The sequence below is a fragment of the Homo sapiens genome, chromosome Y, assembly GCF_000001405.40.
Source record: "Homo sapiens chromosome Y, GRCh38.p14 Primary Assembly".
In the NCBI taxonomy this organism is placed as follows: Eukaryota; Metazoa; Chordata; class Mammalia; order Primates; family Hominidae; genus Homo; species Homo sapiens.
In genome coordinates, this window is record NC_000024.10 from 18,382,459 (window position 1) to 18,405,896 (window position 23,438).

Below are 23,438 nucleotides of genomic sequence, written 5' to 3' on the forward strand. Positions count from 1 at the left end.
GGACCCAGACTCCCATGGGTCAGCTGTTAGACTTGGCTTTTGCAGTTTTCCATCACAGGAATAGGGCAGAGGAAACAAAATAAAGCAAACCTCCCAAGAGGCCAGCTTCTAGCTACAGCCTTGTGCTCTCCACCCCTTCAGAGGCAGCCCCCTTAACCCCTGGCCGTCACAGAGGAAGTGAGAAGGTAAAAGTCCCAGTCTGTGCCTCTGGCCCACTATGCCTTGGATATAAATCAATGTGACTTCTGTAAGAAGGTCAGCCACTGCCGAAGGAAATACACTGTGCTTCCAAGGGAGCCATCATCAGCACCCAGCAGATCCAAAAGTGGTAGGGCCTGATACTTCCTGCATCTGCTCTCATTGGACTATTACCTATCGAGAGATGGAAGAGCCTCAGCCGACTCTTGAAGTGGAAGGTAGGATTATTAACTTCTTATTAAGTATGGGAACAGATGACTCCGTCCTGAGTAAATACAATTGGCTCCTGTCTTCTCACGATGGACAAGCCCAAAAACACTGCTTTTCTTATCTTCTAAGTTGTCCTCCAGGGATTCTGTGTTTCTCACCTGCCTTTTTAGTACTGTCTGAATGCCTGACCTCTTACTGGGGAGAGGTTTATTGAATCAGGAGACTATGTCATGGTCACCTTCACAGATCATAAAGCAGAGAAAGTGTTACTTTTGTTCCTGACCCCTCAGGGGAAAAAGAAGTTAAGAATGAGCTGTCACATTTACCACCTGAGCTGTTGTCTCAAGTAAATCCTAAGGTTTGGGCCACACAAGCTCTGGGAAATGCACTAAACACCTCCCACATTCAAATCCAACTTCAGCCTAGTGCTCCTCACCCTCAGAAGAGACAATACATTTTAAGGCGAGAAGCATGAGGGGAAATTCAAACCCTTATCGCCATATTATTGTCATATGAGTTATTAAGGCCATGAGAGTCTCCTTACAATACTTGCATGTTACCAGATGAAAAGCCTGATGGAAAATACAGATTTGTCAGAAACCTTACAGCATTAATAAACGCAGTTGTCTCCATACACCTCATTGTCCCCAATACTTACCCAAGTCCCAGGGGATGCAAAGTGGTTTACATTCTTAAACCTGAAAGATGAATTTTTCTGCATTTCAGTGCATCCAGTTTCACAATATGTTTGCCTTAGAATGGACTGATCTGTATATGCATTCAGCCTCAAAATTAACCTGGACAGGCATCTCTGAAGGGTTCTGGGATAGCCCCCACTTATTAGAAAATGCTCTAGCTAAGGACTTAAGAAATCTACGATTGCAAAGGACACAATTATTCAGTATGCAGGTGACTTGCTCATTGCTAGTCCAACTAAAGAAGACTCAAATAATAAAACTGTTAAATTGGTAAATTTCCTGGGAATTTGCAAATATAAGATATCACCATACAGGGCTCAGATTTTGACTGAAAGACTTAAATATTTGGAATCTGTCTTAACCTTTGGAACTGATCAACATCCCTAGAAGATAAAAAGTTATTTTAGTCATGTGAGGGTCCCAGTCCAAGAAATGACTGTTGGGCTGTTTTAGGAGATGGCTGGGTACTGCTACTTATGGGTACCCAGATTTGGACATGTAGCCAACCCTTATATGATACACTAAAGAGAAAGATTTAGAGCTCCTAGAATGTAATTAGAGCTACAAGCAAAACTTCAATACTTTTAAGGAGAAATTGGGCTCTGCTGCAGTTGTGGGAGTCCCCAGGTTGGATCAACCATTTGTGCTTTATGTGGCCAAAAAGCAAGGCATAGGCCTTCGGTAATCTTGTCACAAAACTGGGGAATATTCCAAGGCCAGTAACCTAATTTTCTAAGCAGATAGACCAGGTGGCCTCAGGGTGGTCTTAATGTCTTAGAGCTATTGCTGCTACAACTTTTCTAGTAGGTAAAACTAATAAACTAACATTAGGACAGCACCTACAGGTTTTTGACCCCACATCAAGGGAAGGTCTTCCTAGAAGCTAAATGGCACCAGTGGATAATAGGAGAATATTTATGAAGGTATCAGGCCTAATTGCTAGACACTCCAGACATAACTCTTAAAGCCTGTCAAACCATAAACACAGCTACTTATCTGCCAGAGTCCACAGGTGCTCCCAGCCTTTCTGGCATACAGGTTGTATCAGTCTATTCTCATGCTACTAATAAACACATATCTGAGGCTGGGTAATTTATAAAGAAAAGAGGTTTAATTGACTCACAGTTCTACATGATTGTGGAGGCCTCACACTCACGGCAGAAGGCAAATGAGGAGCAAAGTCACATCTCTTACATGGCAGCAGGCAAAAGAGATTGTGTAGGGAAACTCCCTTTTATAAAGCCACCAGCTGTAATCCCATCATTTTGGGAGGCCAAGGTGGTGGATCACCTGAGGTCAGGAGTTTGAGACCAGCCTGGCAAACATGGTGAAATCCCATCTGTACTAAAACTACAAAAATTAGCCAGGCATGGTGGTGGGCACCTGTAATCTCAGCTACTCAGGAGGCTGAGACAGGAGAATAGCTGGAACTTGGAAGTCAGAAGTTGCAGGGAGCTGAGATCATGCTATTGCGTTCTAGCCTGGGCAGCAGAGAAAGACTATGTCTCAAAAATAAAAAAAATAAAATAAATAAATAAATAAATAAACAAACCATTAGATCTCATGAGGCTTATTCACTGTCACGAGAACAGCATGGGAAAGACTCATCCCCCAATTCAATTACCTCCCCCTGGGTCACTGCCATGATATATGGGAATTATGGGAGCTACAATTCAAGATAAGATTTGACTGGGGACACAGCAAAATCATGTCACAGGTTATAAAACAAATTTATTCTAGGAGGCCAGACTTACAAGAGATGAGCCCCTTGCCCCTTGACCATCCCAAGGAAGAGTGGTTAACAGACGCAAGTTCTTTTTTGCATCAGGGAAAACAGAAGAGCTAGATATACTTATTAGCACAAGAGAATCAAGGCACAAGCATTGCTGGCCTCTACCTCAGCTCAGAAAGCTGAGTTAATTGAACTTACTAGGCCCCTGCAGTTGGTAAAGCATTTAAACGTTAACACTTACACTGATTCCAACTATGATTTTTTAGTGCTTCATTCTTACGCTGCAATTTGGAATGGGTAACTACCCCTGGCTCCCAAGGGCTTTTCCATAGAACATCATTCAGATTTTTAGCTTCTTAGAATGCTGTTTTGCTGCCAAAACTGACTATAATTAATTGCAGAGGTCATCAAAACAGAGACGGACCATGTAAAAGGAAATGCCCTGGTAGATGCTGCAGTCAAGGCCCCTGGACTGAAAAGGCCAATTAAGCTATGGGTGTGCTGATTAGCATTCACAGAACATAGGGTCAGAATACTCTGAAGAAGTACAAAATTGGGCCAGGGATTGCAGTTCAGTCCAGGACCCCTCTGGCCCGCTGAACGATGGTAATAAATTACTAATGCCAAGTACCAATCATAGGAATATAATTCAGCACTTTATGATTATTTTCATCCTAGAAGAGATTCTTTGTTTCTGTTAATATCTCATTTGTTTATAGGGGTAAATCTTTTCAAGACAATAAAACAGGTGGCTCACCCCTGTGAGCTCTGCGCCTGACATGTCCCAAAGGCCAGCAATTTTCTCCTTCTCCAGTTAAACGTGTCCAATATTGATGAATCTATCCAGGTGAGAACTGGCAACTCTAATTTACTCAGATGTCTTTCTGCAGGAGATTCAAATATTTGCTAACTCTTACTGATACCTTCACTGGTTAGATCGTTGCCAGAAGAAATAACTTATCAGTCTGAGTAATCTAAAAGCCTGCAAAGTGACAATGGTCCATTTTCAGTGTATCCCAACACCTATCCTCAGCTTTAGGAATCCAGTATTACTTTCACTCTGCGTAAAGACCGCAGTCCTCTGGAAAGGTGAAAGGGCTAATCCTACTCTAAAGAAGACTCATGCTAAATCAAATGCCTAATATCTCTAACACCCATAACTTACTGAGGGTTTGAACTGCTCCAAAGTAAAACTTACCATTAAGTCTTGTTGTGTTTACATATGGAAGGCCTTTCCTACCACAGATCTCCCAATAGATGAAAAGACTCATCAAGTACAAAAATATGTCATCAGTCTAGGATAGGTGCAAGGCACTCTGTGAATACCGAAATAAGAGGCTTCCCCTCCCACATGGGAGGAAAATTCAGTTTCATGTCAGCTAGGGATTTAATCTTAGTAAAGACGAGGGAGGAAGTTCTCCAGCTGACCAGCTTTCCCCAACGTGGAAAGGACCACAGCAAGGCCACCTGAGCTCCCCAGCAGACGTTCAGCTCCAAGGGACTCACAGGTGGGTACACCTGTGTGGAAGTAAAGCTGTTGCTTATTCTGGGAGCCCAATCCGAGGTTGAGGGAGGCGGGCGAGGGTCTATTTAAATGTTGGCAGAGGGCGGGCTGGGTCGCTGCACATCTGCTCTTCCTTCTCGCATTTCTCCTGCCGCCCTAATCCCGCCTTGGCCATGAGGGAGATTGCGCTCACGCAGACCCGGCAGTGCGGGAAGAAGATCGGTGCCAAGGTTGGCATCCGGGGCTCTGAGGTCCCAGCTCCGGCCTACTGGGTGGCCAGGGAAGATGTTGGCAGTGGCAGTGGCTTGGGCGGTGCCCCTGAATTGCAGCCCCTGGGCTCCCTGCCGGGGACGCAGTGGAACTGGGAGGCTGACTAGTCGGCAGGGGTGGACCCCAGGGACACGGCAGCCTAGGGATGTGGTTGCGGATGAGGGTGGGGGTGGTAGAGGAGCTAGGAGAGGGGCTGGGGCGCCTCCAGCTCCCTGGCCTCCGTGACTCAGCCCTGGTCTGTCTGACCCCACCCAATCTCTTGTAGTTCTGGGGGGTGATCTCTGATGAACATCCCATTGACTCCGCTGGCACCTACCACGGGGAGAGCAACCTGCAGCTGTAGCGCATCAACGTGTACTACAACGAGGCCAGCGGTGAGAACCCAGACCTTCTCCGATCGCCATCCTGGGAACGGCGGCCCTCCCCCTCGCTAATACCCTCCTGTCCCACTCAGGTGGCTGGTACGTGCCCTGCGCTGTGCTCGTGGACCTGGAGCCGGTCACCATGGACTCTCTGCGCTCGGGGCCCTTCGGGCTCATCTTCAGGCCGACAACCTCATCTTTGGTGAGCTGCGAGTGAGGACTGCGGTGCGGCTCCTTAGCCGGAGCAGCTCATCTAGTAGTTCCTGAAGGTCATAGCTGTGGGAATTGTGCAGCCAGGGCCCCTGAACATCCTCCTATTCTCCCAATGGCTCAATCTGCCTCTCCTAAATGGGCTTCGGGAGGAAGCCCCAGGCGTCTCCTCAAGGTGAGGAGCTAGTGTTATAAACTCCCTGCAGGGAGCTGAGCTGGGGCCGTGGCTACTCTCTTCCCTGAAAATAGGTAGGAGCCACCTACAGCGAGGTCTCTTAGCATGTCTGAGTTTTGAGTCCTGACTTAATTTCTAAAAGGGGAGGCTGCTGTCCTGTAACTCTGCGGTACGGGGTTTCATTTGCTCCACCTGAAGGATGAATGGTGCTTTCACCTCACATGTGACACTTGGTCCATTTTGCATTGTGGTGGTGACCACTGATGACCATACACCTGGCACTCAAGTGACTGACTGTACTGTCATACAGGTCAGTGTGGGGCTTGAAACAAGGCCAAGGGGCACTATACAGAAGGTGCGGAGCTGATGGAGTCAGCGATGGACATTGTCTGAAAGCAGTGTGAGAGCTGTGAATGCCTGCAGGGTTTCCAGCTGACCCACTCCCTGGGTAGGGGAACTGCATCTGGGATGGGTACCCTTCTCGTTAGTAAGATCTGGGAGGAGTATTCAGACAGGATCATAAACACATTCAGCATCCTGTCCTCGCCCAAGGTGTCAGACACCATGGTGGAACTCTACAATGCCACCCTGTCAGTCCACCATAGAAACTCATAGAAAATGCAGATAAGACCTTTTGCATAGATAATGAAGCTCTATATGACATCTATTCCAGAACCCTAAAACTGCCCACACCTACCTATGGTGACATGAACCACCTGTTATCTGCTACCATGAGTGGGGTCACCATGTGCCTGGGCTTCCCAGGTCAGCTGAATGCTGACCTACAGAAGCTGTCTGTGAACATGGTCCCATTTCCCAGGCTGCATTTCTTCATGCCTGGCTTTGCCCCACTGACCAGCCGGGGCAGCCAGCATTACCAGGCCCTGACTGTGGCTGAGCTTACTCAGCAGATGTTTTATGCTAAGAATATGATGGCTGCCCCTGTCATGGCTGCTACCTAATGGTGGCTGCCATTTTCAGGGGTTGCATGCCCATGAGGGAGGTGGATGGACAAATGTTCAACATTCAAAATAAAACAGCAGCTACTTTGCTGACTGGCTCCCCCACAACGTAAAAACAGCCATCTGTCACATCCCACCCCAGGGGCTAAAAATGTTGGCCACCTTCATGGGCAACAGCATTGTTATCCAGGAAATCTTCAAGCATGTCTCAGAAGAGATTACAGCAATGTTCAAGTGCAAGGTCTTCCTCCACTGGTACACGGGCGAGGGCTTGGATGAGATGGAGTTCACTGAGGCTGAGAGCAACATGAATGACCTGGTGTCTGAAAATTAGCAGTACCAGGATGCCAAGGCTGAGGAGGAGGAGTTTGAGGAGTGTGCTGAGGAGGAGGTGGCCTAGAGCTTTCCTTTTCTTGGGGAAAGGATGGAAACTATGTGGATTCTTTTTTGTGTTCTGACAGCCCTGTGTCACTACGCAATTGTTCATTTGTGTCTTCTCATCTTCTCCTGATGTATTTTAAAGCATTTTTATAGTATGCGATTTTGCCTACTAAAGTACTCTCATAACATCTGGTTTCACCTCTAACTTCTTTCTTTAGGCTCTCTGGCTACTGCTGCTAGATGCCCTTAGTTGTCCTGCAAGGCTGAAGCTGTCTGGGCTTATCACATGCCCAGTAACAAGCATTCGGCTGGCTCCAGGAGGGGTTGGCATGGGCTGTGGATGTGGCAAGTAGTATTCACATGAACGTATGGATGCCCTGGGACTTGGGCAGCTATGTGATGGGAAACCTGTTCCTGAAGGCAAGCCTTGGCTTATCCCATGTAGCAAACTTCCAGGGGAATAGCTGGCCCTCTGTTTCTGGAACTTTAAAAGTGGTCAGTGACCCTGGTGGACAATGTCCCAAAGTCCTACCTCAGGGTAGGAACGTGGTCAGACAGCTGATTATGAACCAGCATTGAAGGGTGGCAAAGTAGGACCCCAGCCACTCTATCACCATGATGGACTGGGTGTGAACGTGTGTCTTCATTCTCTTAATGAGGTGGGCATGGGGTATCTGGCAGGGACTGTTGGGCAGGAATCAAGTCCAGTGTCTGCTCACATGCACTGAACCCTATGTAGAAGGTTATTAGGTCCTGGGGGCCATAGATGGTGGTTGCTGGGCCTGTGTGCTCGGGGCAGTCTCTCCAAAGGCAAAGATGGGGTTTCTGAACAGGACCTGGGGAGACAGGCAGATGCTCACAAGTGCTGTTTCCCCCATCTGGCAATCAGTGAGAAAAACACACAAGTGGAGGTCTTACCTGCCCCAGTCTGGAGGGCTGATGCTCTCTGGAAAGGTGGTTAATACACACTGTCTGCTGTCTCTCTGTCTCCCACTTCAAAACTTCAGGGCAAAAATAATCCAAGATTGTCAGGATGAGACTGGTGAGGGTGTCACCTTTGGGGATAGGTCCTTTAGCCTGGCAGAGTCTCCACCCCAGGCTTCCTGGGGAGCCTGGACTTCAAAGCCTGCTTTGGGGAAGCTGTCAAGAGATGTGTGTGTGTGAGCTGGGTGCTGGGCAGCCTGACAAGACAGTGCTTTTCTACCTAGCTCTTGTAGAATTTGTCGGTGGCCTGTGTAATTACCTCTTGGTAATTCCCACCCCACCCTCATCACACAGATAAAATGAAGCCAGCATAGCCTGGGGGTCGGCAGATGTACAGGTTCTACCGCAGGAACCCTGGGCATACCCACCTGCCTCAGGTGTGTCAGGGAAAACAGGTGAGGCCCCTTTCTTTTTCTTCATTGAATGTTGGCAATGGCCTTTTGCAGCCAAATGGCAACAGGCAAGCAGGAGAGTGCCTCATCTTGAAAGAAGTGGCTCCTGGAAGCAGCTAGGAGGTGGCAGAGGTCCCCCATACTCCCTTAACCTGTTCTCAGAGCAGGAAAAGGGGCCTCTGTGACAGCCCTCCTCAGTGGCTCTCACTCTCTGAGGGGTGTGCTTGCCCACCCAGGTGTGCCCCCATATGAAATGTTTTTGTGTGGACCTGGTTGGGAAGGTTCAGCTGAAGCAACCACTGGAACCTGCCCACATGTAGTATCTCCAATGACACATGGGATCAGATGGTCCTTCTGAAGTGGTACACCCAGAGTTGCACAGAGGGCGAGTCCCTGCTGCAGTTCCCATCGGGTCTGAATGTGGATTAGGCTTGGTACCCATGTATTTCCCAATTACCTGGTTCCATCTGGGGGCTTCATGGACAGGAGTAGTGCTTTTCCAGGCCTCTTCTCCATATGCCAGCTACAGGCCCAGATTTCCCAAGTATCTGGAGACCCCCTTCCAGCCTGGCAAGCATGGCATGTTGTGGGGGAAGGACATCAAGTCTACAGGCAGCAGAACCTGTCTGGCTAGGTTCTCTACCCCTGGAGGCCCCTGGTTGTTTACCTGTTTGGGTGAGAGTTGGCTTAGGAACTCAACATTCTTGTAGGACTTCAGAACACTATAGACAGGGGCCCAGGAGGGAGCAGGGGCTGGCAGCTAATCAGTGTAGTGGCGGTTGTAGGGCTCAGTTTGGTCTTGCAGGGAATTCAGAGGGCTTGGATTTGCTGAAGCTCTAGACAAGTTTGGGCTTGGATATGGAAACAGCATGGATCAGGGGCCCTTCTGCATGCAGAAGTCTGAGTAGTTACACCCTGGTGCATCCATAAGTGTTTCTCACCTGGAGCACAGCTGTGGGTAGAAGCTGGGAGAGCTGTGGAGGGAAGAGGAGGCAGAACGAGTCTCAGGGCAGCCACAGCAGCCACGCAGGGCCTCTGCAAGTGAGATGCAGATCCAGCCTGTTGGTCACTTAGCAGCTGCTTGGACGGCTGCAGATCACCTGACCTCTGCTCACCAGTAGATGGGGGTTGCATTAGCACTTACCTTCAGGGACTTCTGCAGCTTGAAGGGGAAGCACACACCACAGGATGAGAAAGCACCTGACTCAGGCAAGCTTCTCCAAGAGCACCACATCAGATTAACATCCAACCTGTACAGGACACCATGAAATCTCCCCACCCCTCATTCCAGCTGTAAGAAAAGGGAGTCTTTGTCCTAGGGGAACAAGCACAGGCATACTTATGCAGTGAGCACATGGCCCAAGTTGCGGAAAGGCCCTTGGATGAATGCTGGTTTCACCAACAATCTGTGGGTTGGGTTTGGCCTGGACCCTTGGACCCCAGCAGTCCAGTACCCCCCTGCATGGGACAGGACTGGGAGGTGGGTGGGAGGGCTGAGCTTTGATGGAAGCCATTATTTGGCTTCCTGTCAAGTGGTACAGGTGGTTGTTGGTGGCTCAGTTTTGAAAGACCTGGGTGATCACCCAAGGAGTGAAAATTGCCTTTTTATGAGAAATTACCAAAATTCATGCAAGCTCATCTGTTGAAAAGGTAAGAAATGCTGACAGTTGGCTTCACCTGCCCCTTCCCCACAAGTAACTTGTGTTCAGGGGTGGGTTTTCTTCCTTCCCAGACTTTCCCCTTTGCATGTAACTGTGTGCATGTACTTTGGCATGTACACACACACTTTCCCTGGAGGGGTTACTTTTATTTTTTTATTTGGGGGGATAACAAGTGAGTCAGCCTGACACTTGCTTATTTGGTCTTTTAAGTGTGGAGTCCTCTACGGAGTGGGCATCAGGTACTTACTAGCTGGCCTCTGCCAGCTGTTTGGCTGCCCCGGTTTCTGCCCTTCACAGAAATGCTGGCCACCTGGTGTGACATTCAGTTTCCTTGTTTGCAGCTAGTATGAGACAAGTGGATCAGGGACATTATAAACTGAAAAAGCGCACAACATGCAGAGGGAAAGAATAAATGACCATGTGTGTACTGAGATGACAAACATTGTTTTTGCCTAACATTTGGGCCCTGAGAAAGGGCATTTATGTTTTACTTTTTATTTAAAACAGAGATAGAAGAAATATTACCAGGCTTTCTTTTCCATTATCCCCAAATCCCAAATCCTACTTTACCCCCTCAAGTTTACCTACCTCTGAGAGAAAGAGGAGCTCGCCTGGTTAATGAGAGCCTGAAATAATTGAACCGGGTCACAGGGTAAAGGTCATACTGCTTCTGTCTCCTTGTGAATCACTTGCTCATCTCAGATATTTCATAGCTCCCTGTATAAAGGTAGATGTGTTATCCTCCTAGCCTGCTTTCTTGGTTTGATACATGCCTGAGAGCACGTGAGAGCACTTAAGGTCTAGGCTGATTGGAGGACTGTTCTGCCCACCCCATCTCATCTATCCAGCTCAGCCTGCATGCATGCATTCCCTCATCTGATTTCTGAGTAGGGGATGGGAGGTCTCACATTGACCTCAAGTTTCTGTGACTTTTTCCACCTCTGTTTTCCAAGGCAGCCTCTGCTGTGGGACTTGTAATGAGATTTGTGAAGTCAGTATCTACTTTTCTTGTGTGGGTGTTTTATAAAGTAAAGCCCTGGAGGGGAATAAATGTTAAAGGTACAACAAACCCCTAACCTATAAACATCTAAGCCTGACCCTTTTTTGGTGGTAAAATATATATAACATAAAACTTACTATTTTTTCCATGTTTAAATGCACAGTTCAGTATATTCACAGTGTTGTAAAACCATCTCCTTAATCCGTATCTACAACTTCTTTATCGTCCTAAACTGAAAGACTATACCCATAAATAAGTCTTTGAATAGAAGACTGATGCAGTTGACTCCATAAAAATTCAAACTTTCTATGAGAGAAAAATACTTCAAATGACTCATAGACTGTGGAAATAGATCTGCAACATACGTGACAGACAAAAAGCTAATTTACGTAATATATATATATCCTAAATTATTAAAAGACTAGCAGTCAAATTGAAAAATGGACAAGGGATGTAAAGAAACAGTTCAAAGCAACACATAGATTTTTAAATATTTGCTAATTTTTTACTGTGGTAAAATATGTGTAATAGAAAATTTAAGTACATTAGGTACAAATACATTGCTGTGCAACTATCACCGCTATCCATTTTCAAATCTGTTTTATCATCCCAAAGTGAAACACTGTATCCACAGAACAATAGCTCCCGTTTCCCTTCCCCCTATCCCCTGGAAACCACATCCCACTTCCTGTGTCTATGAATTTAACCGTTGTAGGTTTGTTATAAAAGTGAAAAGCATGGAGTATTTGCATTTTTTGTTTTAATCTTTTCAAGGTTTATGTTGTAGGATGTATTAAAATTTCTTTTCTTTTTAATGCTGAATAATATGTCATTGTGTGTATGGCTCACATTTGCTTATCCATTCATCTGTAGATGGACCTTTGGGCTTTTTCTACCCTTTGGCTATTCTGAATGCTGCTACGAACATGGGTGTTCAAATTCCCACTTTCAGTTTTCTGGGGTATAGGCCCAGATGTCGAATTACTGGATCACATAGTGATTACTGTTTTCCACAGTGGCTGTGCCATCTTACTTTCCCACCAGCAGAGTGCAGGAGTCCTGACTTCTCCACATCCAGCATTTGCTGCTTTCTGGAGCTTTGTTGTTTGTTTTAGTTTGCTGCTGGTGGTTTTTTTGATGGTAGCTATACTTACATGTGTCAGTTGGTATGACATTGTGGTTTGGATTTACTTTTTTCTCATGATTACTGATGCTGGGCTCCTTATACTGTGCTTACTGGTCATTTGTATATCTTCTTTAAAGAAATGTGTATTTTAAAACCTTTGCTCATGTTTAAATTTGATTGTTTTGTTGTTGTTTCTGAGGTCTTTATATAGCCTGGATATTAATTACTTGTGAAATACATAAATGTGTGAATATTTTCTCCCCCTCCGTGAATTGTATTTTCAATCTATTGATTGTATCTCAGATACACAAAAGCTTTTCACTATGATGAAGTTATTTTTGTGTATTGTTGTTTTTGTTGTTGTCTATGCTTTCACTGACATATCCAAGAAATTATTGCCAGATTCTATGTTATGAAACTCTTTTCCTATGTTTTTTTCTAAGGGTTTTATAGTTTCAGCACTTACAATTAGATGTTTGGTCTATTTTAAATTAAGTTTTTTATGTGGTGTAAAGTAAGGGTTGAACTTCGTTGTTTTTCATGTAAATATTCATTTGTTAACACCGTTTTTAAAATACTGTCCTTTCCCATTGAATAGTTTTGACTACCTTGTTAAAAATCATGACCATATGTTTTGGTTCTTTATTTCTATTGCATTGGTCTTTCTGTCTGTCTCTATGCCGGTACAACATTGTCTTGGGTACTGAAGCGTTGCAGTAAGTTTGAAACCAGGAGGTGTTAGTCCTCTAATTTTGTTAGTTTTTAAGATTGATTTGGCTACTTGGGGTTTTTTGAAATCTCATCTGAATTTTAGAACAGGTTTTTCTATTTTTGCAAATATTGGAATTTTTATAGTGATTTTATTGAATTCATGGATGACTATTGATAACAATGGCATCTTGACAAGGTTTTGTCTTCCAATCCATAATAAACACATGACGTCTTTTCATTTATTTGTATCATCTTTAATATTTTTCTGCAATGTTTATAGTTTTTGCTGTACAGGTTTTTCATTTCCTTGGTTAAGTTTGTTCCTAATATGTTATTGTTTTGATGCTATCATAAATTATACTGTTGTCTTGATTTCTTCTTCACATAGTTTATTATTATTGCAGAAATACAACTAATTTGTGTGTATTGATTTTCTATCCTGCAGTTTTGCTGAATTTTATTTACTGCATCTGACAGTTTAACTCACAGAAACTAGAAGATTTTTAACATATAAGATTATGTCATCTGCGAACAGATAATTTTACTTTTTCAAAAATTGGAATATCTTTCACTCTTTTACTTGCCTTTTTGTTTTAACTAATTAGAATCTTCAGTACTATATTAAATAGAAGTAGTGAAAACAGGCATCCTTGTTTTTGCTCTTAGAGTAAAATCTGTCAGTCTTTCACCATAAGGTTAGCTGTGTGTGTGTGTGTGTGTGTGTGTGTGTGTGTGTGTGCATTTTTTAATATAACATTACATCGATATTTTATTTATTTTTATAGCTTATTAAGTATATTTTTATGATTGTGGGTTAAATTTTGACAAATTCTTTTATTTGATTAAAATGATCACATGAGGGTTTTTTCCTTCTTTATGTTAATGTGATATTAAACTGATTTTCATGTGTTGGAACATAATTTTATTTCAGGAGTCAACTATACTCATTCATAGTGTGTAATCCTTTTAATGTACTGATAAATTTCAATTGCTGGTATTTTGTTGAGGATTTTTGAATCAGCATTTGTAAGGGATGTTTGTAGTTTTCTTATAGTGTCTTTTTCTGGCTTGGTGTCAGGGTAATTCTAGCCTCATAGAATAAGTTAGAAAATGTTACCTCCTCTTCAACGTTTTGAAAAAGCTTGAGAAAAACTGGTGTTAATTCTGCATTAAATGTTGGGTAGAATTCAACAGTGAAGCCGTCTGGTCCAGGCTTTTCTTTGTTGCTGGGTTTTTGATTACTGATGCAGTCTTCTTGCGGAATCTCCTTTCTGAATAGGTTTATTCAACTTTTCATATTCAGTCTTAGTGGGTTTTTTGTTTCTAGGAATTTGTTCGTTTTATTTATGTTATTCAATTTTTAAGTGTACAGTTTCTTATGGTACCCTCCTACATTCTTTTTTTACTCCAAAAATTTGGTAGTAATGAATCCATTTTATTTTTGAGTTTTGTAATTTGAGTATTCTTTTTTTCTTAGTCAATCTAGTTAAAGGTTTGTCAGTTTTGTTGAACTTTTTCAGAGAACAAACTTGGTTTTGTTGTATTTTGATATTTTTCTATTCTCTTTCACTTATTTCCACTGCTATCTTTATCATTTTTTATTTTGCTAGCTTTTAGTTGTTCCCTCTTTTTCCCTCTGTTTTTAGTTCATTAGCTATATAGTTAAGTTGTTGATTTGATATCTTACTTTTTATAATCATTTATAACTATAAATTTTTCTCTTATGCTACTGCTTTTGATGTATGTCTTAACTTTTGGTATTTCATATTTTTAATTTGTCTCTAGATATTTTCTGTTTTCTCTTGTGATTTATTCTTCTATCCATCCTTGAGTGTTTAATACCTGTATTTTTAGACATAAAATGTGTAACCCACAGAATTTTCTTGATTTGTTACAATTTTGTTTGTTGTAAATTTTTGTTTCAGACTTAAATGTGTGTATCAGCATTTGTTATGTTCTCATAAACTTTGTAATACATGAAGATTCCTGGTCCACATATGCAAGCCTCTACATGAATATTATTTTGAAGCATTATCCTTCTATTTTAATATTCCAAATGTCTATATGAAATTGAGATCTTGGTTTCTGAGATGAAATCATGATAGGTGACTGAGAAATCCTTAAAAATTAGCCAAAACTTAAAATTAAGTTACAGTTTACCTTCAAGATTCAACCTGAGTCACTCTGTATTGCTGGTAATAAAAAAATAAGTCTTTAATGGAATAAAAGCAAATTTCAGAGAATGTTTTTTTCCCCCTCGTTGACATTGAAATTAAAAGCCATAAAAAACTTTATGGCCTTAGGCACTGTTTACTTTAGAATTCCAACTTTTCCTAGTTAAAATTTTTCTAAACAGATTCCTGTGAATTTGAAAGAAATAATTTTTTAGTTGAAATGCTTAAGCATATTTAAGAAGTTAAAGCTGTTGTGCTTATTCTTGCCTTAAATAGTTTATGTAATGTAACTACATTTTAAAAGTTTCATTGTTAAGTTTCTCTAAACTTTGGTTAAGAAGCAGAAAGCATTACATGAGATTTTTGACATATGCTTTCAAGAAATCTCTTTTAAAAATGTTAAAGGAAGAACTGTTTAACATAAAAATGAATCTTTATGTGTTTGCATAATTTGAAAAAGTACGGCCCACAGCTTTTTTAATGCCCAAGAACGACACATATTTTCCTTTAGTAATATGAGGATAATAATTGTAGTTACCATGAGTGTTATGCCACATGACATGCAAAATTCTTTATGTATATTCATCTTCTAATCTTCAGAATTGTCTAATAAGTTTGACAAATTTATTATCTCCATTTTTATAACCATTATTCTTGATTCATTATACACCCTCATCAGTTTTCTGTGCTTGATTCTTTATGTATGTTTAGTTTGTTCATGTGCTTTTATTTCTAATAAACATTTAGAAATTAGAAATTTGAAAACTGAGATTTAAAAGTGGAATAAATTGTCCATGGGACACCCAGCTACGAGACACAGAGCCAGGATAAAAACTGGCATCTGTCTGACTCTAAAACCTGCAATGTTAACCACTGTAATCCCAGACAAACTTCCTTGATCATTCTACATGAATTAATGTATCTGTCTCTTTCTTCTCTCATTCTTCTTTTTTGTTCTTAGTACTCATTACAACTTGACGTGCACATGTAGATTTTTGTTTATAGAGATGGGGGTCTTTCTCTGATAATCATACACGTATATTTTTAATTTGCTATCTTTCTCTCTTGCTGTTTCATTCAATGTTCTCCTAAAACAATTACAGGCATTTGTACTGGTCTGTATGTATTGGTTGATACTTAAATAAATGAATGAAATTAGTGTATTCTGTACAGCATTAGTGCATATATTATTAAAGCTGTTATAGATTTTGTGTTTTCCTCTCTTTAAATTTTTCTTTCTATATTGCAGCACTCCCCAGTCTTTTCAGCACTAGGGACTAGTTTCGTGGAAGACAACTTATCCATGGACTGGGCAGGGGGACAGTTTCAGGATGACTCAAGCACATTACATTTATTTCATACTTTATTATATTGCATTGTAATATATAATGAAATAATTATACAACTCACTGTAATGTAGAATCAGTGAGAGCCCTGAGCTAGTTTTCTTGCAACTAGTCAGTTCCATTTGACGGTGATGGGAGACTGTGACACTCAAAATGTGGTGCTTATGTCCAGTCTACTTCATAATTTTGTTTTGATTGCTGTCACTGGAAAAAAACTCTGCTTCAGAAAGACAGGATTTTGGAAATGGAAGCAGGAGTTTCAGTGATACTGTTAACAAAGAGATGTCAACGCTGCTATGGAGAAGAACAGCAATGGCTTCACTATCCTTAAATTTTACATAACATTTGCTATTATAGGTTCTTCTCCCTGTTCTTATTTTTTCCTGATATCTCTCCTCTTAAATGGTACATATAATCCTGTTATTTTATTTCAAAATTTTTAATGCTTTTCAATACCTGCAGGTCTTTACTGAATACTTCTATAATCATTTAACTCTAATTCTATTTCAATAGCTAAGCTGCCCATTTGATATTTCCATTGGTTATTATACCTATCACAAACTTGATAAATCTGAAATTTGGTTCTATAGATAATTTTCTTGTAATAGTTTAAATATACATTCAAAAATTATTTGAAACTCTTCAAAAAGTATGAAGGATCTTCAAAAAGTTCATGAGAAATGCATATTGAGAATAAATTCTGCATAGACTTCAAAAATATTTTGCAACTAAATAAACTTTTACTAACTTTGTTATAACATGTCTGAACAGGATCTAATTTGGGGAATTATAATAAGGAAACTAAGACACCAATTTGAAAAGAGATCGTATTAGAGCAGCATGAATTCTACTAAAATTAAAGCAAGAAAAAACATCAAATTTATGGCCATTTTGGGTGAAAGAATAGTAAAATAACTAATTCTTTATAACAATTTATGGGGACAATGCCCCCCGACATTCACAAGCATACAAATGAATAACTCATTTTAAGAAGGGATGATTAGGTGTTGAAGATAAAGCCCACAGTGGAAGACAATTCACATTAACTCACCAGAAAAGAAATTAATCTTGTTCATGCCGTGCTTTAGGAGTGACAACGGTATAAACAACAGTTTAGGAATGACAACGGTATAAACAACAGTCAACACCATGGCCATCTCTTAAATTCACACAATTTTGAGAATTTTTCCACTCAATAGATTAGAAAACTCTTGTTCCTAGATCAGCTGCAGACAAGAACAGAGCTTTCAACTGAAATTGTACATAAATGTTATTAAGATCTTGAGGCATTTCTTCAAATAATTGTGTGAGGAAGTCAAACACAGCTGTTCCATGAAATTTTCAACATAAAACAGAAATAAAGCAACGGCTACCAAGAAGTGAAAGTGGTCCAGTCTCAGCAAAAGGTTACTGGTCTAGAACAAAGCTCATAGCAACAGTGTCAGGGTGCTCAAGGCATTTTGCCTGTTGGCTTTCTAGAGGGCCAAAAACAAAACAAAACAATACATAATGCAATAAAACATGCTATTATGGAGTATTTTGAGACAGTTACCCAAAGCGTTAGGGGAAATATTTCCAGAAAATTTTACCATAGAATTCTTCACCACCACAACAATGTTCCTCCTCTTTCCTCTCATTAAAAAAAATCAAAGGACAATTTTGCTGGACTTGCCATGGAAAATTATTAAGCATCCACCTTTTAACCCTGATTTGGCTCCCTCCAACTTCTTTTTCTCTTCTGATTTTAAAACAGCTTTAAAAGACACCCATTTTCTACAGTTAATAATGTAAAAGAGACTTTCCTGACATTGTTAAATTCCCAGGACCTTACTTTTTGTGGGGATAGACTGAAGGCTGGTATTATTGCTTATAAAAGTGTCTTGAACTTGACTTGATGAAGCTAATGTTGAGAAATAAAGTTTATATATTTTATTTTTGTGTTTTACTTTCATTTTTTCACAAACTTATTGAAGTCCTTTCATAGACCCTAATTCTTTTCTTCTTGAAGGTATGTCAAGCTTAAAAATCCTTTCTGGTGAATAGAAGGTGACAGAAGTGTCCATGTGTGACTTCTGAGTCTAGGTCATAAAAGATTTTGCCACTAATGCATTGTTTTTCCTAAGCCACTCTCTCTGAAAGAAACCAGCCACTATTTGGTGAGAACAGTCAATCATCCCTACAAAAATATCTATGTGGAGAGAACCTGAGACCTTCAATTAAAAACCCCACCAACTTGCAGGCCATGAATGTTAGCAAAGTTGAAAGTGGATCTTCTAGTTGCTGTCAAGAGTTTGGATGACAGCCCCAATTGAAATCTGACTGTAACCACATGAGATGGCCTGGGGCACAACCACCAGGATAATTGTTCTTGAATTTCTCATCTACAGAAATTCAGGTAATAAATATTGTGATTTTATGCCATAAAGTTTTGGGGTTACATGTTATGAAACAATACATAGCAACTTCACTCTTTCAACATCCATTTTATTTTTTATACAACCATGCATTTTTAATAATGAGGATATATATTGAGAAATGCACCATTGTGTAGTATTATTACTGTGTGAACATCATAGAATGTACTTACACAAACCTAGGTGGTATAGCCCATTGGAGACCTAGACTATATGGTATAGCCTATTGCTCCTAAACTACAAACCTGGACAGCATGTTACTATGCTGAATACTGTAAGCAATTGTAACACTATAGTCAACATTTGTATACATAAACATAAAAGGCACAGCAAATTTATGTTATAAAAGATTTAAAAAATGGTATATTTGAATAAGGCACTTACCTCAGGTGGTCTGCTAATTTTCATGGTCACATGAAGATTCCACTGAAATATATTCTGAACTACCCACTGCCATAGGTGGCAGCCTTGACTATGTGCACCACCCATGAAGGTCGCCTTTCCCTTGCTTTTCCTGACTTTTCAAGTGCATGATTATGTGCTAAGTCATCACAAGAGCTGAACTCTGTTCTCTTTCTGTTGGGTTCTGCAGCTATTTATTATCAGTTTGGTACCTAGATTTTGTAGACCCTATTTCGTTGACATTCTTGGTAGAATCAGGCCATCTTCATCCCATTGTGCTATCCTTGTGTTACTGTCATGTATTATAATGTGTAAAGTCATTTTTTTTAAGAACAATCTGAGGGTAGACCATAGGCATAGGACCTTTGTGCCTATTGTTTCAGCCAACCTCACAGAGAGAACAGTTAGTGGTTTTCCCTTGATCAGCATTAATTTGGATAAACGTTGCTGTCAGTTACTGTGAAACTGGTTACATTTTCCTTTCACTTTTTTTCATCTTAAGAAAACATCTTTAATCCATACAGCATGTTTTCTCTTGTTTTATACCCACTGGAGTCATAGGCATTTTTCTGCTTTAAGTTATGGCCAACCATTGGATTAGGGCTGAGACATTAGGTGCACAGGATTACACACAAACTGTTCTCCAAATACTCTTCATTTTAGGATAAAAGTATTGGTACTTATATATACTTTAATTACAATTCTTACACTTATTTCTCTGAATACCATTAGTTCAATGATTATTTGAACCTTTAATGACCACATTAATGAATGTTGACGAGACAAACATTCTTCCTTTGAGAGGCACTTTAGAAAGACAAAGAATCTTCAGGTCCAATGGGAAGTATTTCTAGTTGGTACATATAATGAGCCAAGAAGACTGTACACATAATTATGAATGAGACATTGCTCCACGAAAATATTCTATTGCTAAAGATGTCTAAAGATGAAAAATTTACAATCAGAAGCAACAAAAACCAGACACATTTTTTAGTAAATGTGTCTCCTCCTTGTCCTTCTGTTGCCTCCTTGCATGTTGCTCTCCCTCCTGCCCCTTATGATTCTAATATCTCATCTTTTGCCCAACTATTGACTTCTCCTTCTAGTTTTTTAATATGAAATTATTTTCTGAGCTGTCACACATTCCCAAATTGTTTGTTTCACCTAAGTATCCACCTTTCCCATGACCCAGATTGGTAAGCAACTGCAGAATTCAAATCTAGTGCATGAGTTCAGAGTTGCACATGAACTAACAAGTTATAATTAACGATTTTTAAAAACTAAACAAGAAAATTAAATATTCATCAAATAATTTAGAATTATTTAGGGCACATATGGCTTAGGGTTACTTGACATATCAACTTGTACACCTGTTAGATGGAACATCAGATGCTAAATCCTGGATGACAAAATGTGATTGGCCTGACCTGCTAGGAAACTTGTAGAATTCCTCTTTCCAAAATATCAGGGTCAAAATCATTCATAAAAACAATAATACAATTATTAAACTATAGAAGATTTGTAGATAGAATATAAAATTTTTTGTCACAACTCAGTTAAAACAGGTTTTTCTGAAGATCAATATTTATGTAAAAGTTATAAAACATAAAATAATAATAGGGATAATTACATAATAAAAGCTATCACAAATACTGAACAGAAGACTTCAGAAATTATACTAATTTTGCCATTTATATTTTACTATCAACTATAATTATTGTTTTTCTTAAAAGAAATAAATATACCATTATGAGGTGATCAGAAGCAGACAAGGAGGTTAGACATTTCCTCATTTATTCACTCAGCGACCCTGTCACAGAACTAAATCTGTGCTAAGTGCCATGATGGGCCCAGCATGTGGTGCTGAGAAATGATTGAGTGGCCCTTTCCCCAACTCAAGAAGCCTGCAGTCTGAGGATATATGGACAAAAACCCTAAAGCAAGTACAAGTAAATGAAGAGTAAATGCTATAATTAAAATAAAGTAGGATGTTGAAAGGCAGGGCGGGGAGCCATAGCATTCTAGGGACCCAAATGCCTCTCTGTGGCAACAGATGACCAGCCCTGCACAACTCTGGGGATACAGTGTCAGTGAGATGCCACTCCTGGTGCAGAGAAATGCAGGCAGAAGTGACTTTGGCAGAGGATGAGAGAAAGAGGCCGGCAGGGCTAGAGGGAGCCTGGGGAAGAGAAAAGGAGAGGGAAGGAGGACTCTGGGACCTAGAAGAATAAGACAGTGATCTGCTTCTCTCTGACAACATTCTCCCCAAACTTAGCATCTTTAACAACAAATTCTTACTATCTCACAATTTATGTGGACCAGAATCTGGACACAGCTTTGCTGGTTGCCTGCACATGGGGCTCCATGAAGCTGGGGCTGTGCTCTCAGCTGAAGCTGAGCTGTGAGAGGATTAGATTCCAAGCACACTCATATGGGTATTGTCCAGATTCAGTGTAGACTGAGAGCCTGAGTGTTTCCTGGGGCCTGGGCACTCCCTCATTCTCTGTTGTGTAGGCCACTGCATAGGCAGCTCATAACTCTGGATCTTGTTTTCTGAACTTGAGGGATGCAGTAGAAAGACAGGGAAATAAATACACATTGAAAGAGAAAGAGAAAGACATTGGCAGAAAATGGGAGAGAAAACAATGGGCAGAGTAAGTAGAAGAATGAGAGAAATAGATTGAGGGACAAAACACAGAAGAAAGAGACGAGGAGAAAATGAGGTGAAAGCCTCAGGAACAGTATTACTGGCTCTATAAACAAAACAAAACAAAACACAACAAAAAACCCAGAGAACTCCATCCTCCACTATCTGTCAGGCAAATATAGAATGTAAAGACTACAGTCTGAAACTCAGAAGAGAGAGTTCTCACTAGAGCTCGACCATGCTGGCATTCTGATCTTCAACTTCTGTCCTCCAGAACTGTGAGAAAGAACATTGAAGAACATTGTACTGTTGATAAGCGGCTCATTCTATCTTTGCTGTAACAGCCAATCTAAGACAGAAATGTTATCATATCACATTTATTGCATTCCATTTGTCAGAAGTGAGCTGCAGACCCCTTAGTGTTATGAGCCTTCCTATAGTCTGCCAACCACATAGGCCAAAATGAGGGACATGGGTCTGATTCTGAATATAATGAGAAGGCTCTAAAAAGAATAATGTCAGAGGATGACAACATGTGAATTTCATTTCACCTCAAATTCTTACTAGTGTAGAATGAAAAATGAGGCTGAGAGGGGAAGCGACTTTCCAATATCACAGTGCTGGACACAGGCCTGCTTGTGTTGTATTCTATGTTACCTCCCATTCCTTCTTATAATTATTTTATCTCTAAATGCGTGCATTGTCTACATGGGATGCCACACCATGAGTTTTACAGGTCTTATCTCATACACACCCGATGAGTTCCCTAGGGAGATGCTGGCATATTACCCACTGTACAGGTTGAAAGGCCCCAAAACCTACAATAACTTTTCTAGTGTCACAGAACTAATAAGAAATACTAGGTTCTTACCCAGATCTATGACCTCAAACCTGAGACCCTGGCTTCATTCAGGTCTTTTCAGGGAAGTGAGGAGGGCTGTTCTTGCATAATTGTGCACAGCTAAAGAGTTGACACGCAGGGATAGTGAGCAGTCAGTAGCCCAGAAGGTCATTTTAGATGGGTTTTATGGAGGAAAGCAAGGAGCCAGAGGATGAAACTTTGAAAAAGTGATCTTACTTCCTTTGTGACAGACCCCAACAGAACTTAGAACTCTGGTAACCAAGCACCTACATCCTAGAGACAACCCTGTGCCCAGGTCACTCATGGAAAATGTTTAACAGAGCACAATATGCTCCTGGTAGATCCCAATACTCTTAGGCTCTTGATTCAGGAAGGCCTAAAGTGAAAACCTTTTCTGAGATGCTGACATTGGCTTATTCCACACACCAGATGTCTCTGGAAATTTTGTAGGGGTTGCCCAGAGATAACAAACACTAAGCTTAGGGCAAGCCCCTCCAGGCTGGGTCTCACCAGTGCTTTCATTTACCTTGCATTAGAATGTATGGAAAAAACAGGAATTTAAAATAGCAAAGATTGACCCAAACTACTTTTTTATTAGATTCCCTAAGGTTCTGTATTGGTGTTGTTGTTGTTTTGTTTCTTTGTTTGAGACAAGACCTAACTCTCACTCAGGCTGGAGTTCAGTGGCACAATCACAGCTCACTGTAGCCTAGATCTCCTGAGCTCGAGCAATTCTCTCACCTCAGCCTCCCAAGTAGCCGAGAGACTACTGGTGCACACCACCACACCTGGCTAATATATATATATATATATTATTTTTAGCAGAGATGAGGTCTCATTGTGTTGCCCAGGTCTGTCTTGAACTCCTGAACTCAAGCAATCCTCAATTTTTGATACATAAATATGCTAGGTGTAGGATTCTTAGTCGAGAGCTTTATTTTTTTTTTCTGTGAGCAGTGACCAAGGAAAGTTTCAAAAGAAGAAATAGAGAAACTTTAAATAAGGCAATTAAATGAA

At 40.9% G+C, this 23,438-nt stretch overlaps 1 long non-coding RNA gene and 1 pseudogene across 1 annotated transcript; one reads left to right on the plus strand and one right to left on the minus strand.

The window, feature by feature from the left end:
• Positions 4,123-6,958, plus strand: TUBB1P1 (tubulin beta 1 class VI pseudogene 1; annotated as a pseudogene).
• FAM41AY2 (family with sequence similarity 41 member A, Y-linked 2) lies at positions 6,812-22,588 on the minus strand. Its single transcript, NR_028084.1, has 10 exons — positions 22,431-22,588; positions 21,786-21,835; positions 10,328-10,456; positions 9,987-10,080; positions 9,223-9,393; positions 9,020-9,113; positions 8,536-8,745; positions 8,055-8,242; positions 7,621-7,842; positions 6,812-7,538 (listed from the first exon to the last, which is right to left on the minus strand). It is a non-coding gene; the product is annotated as a family with sequence similarity 41 member A, Y-linked 2 (long non-coding RNA).
• Positions 22,589-23,438: the final 850 nt, after the last annotated feature.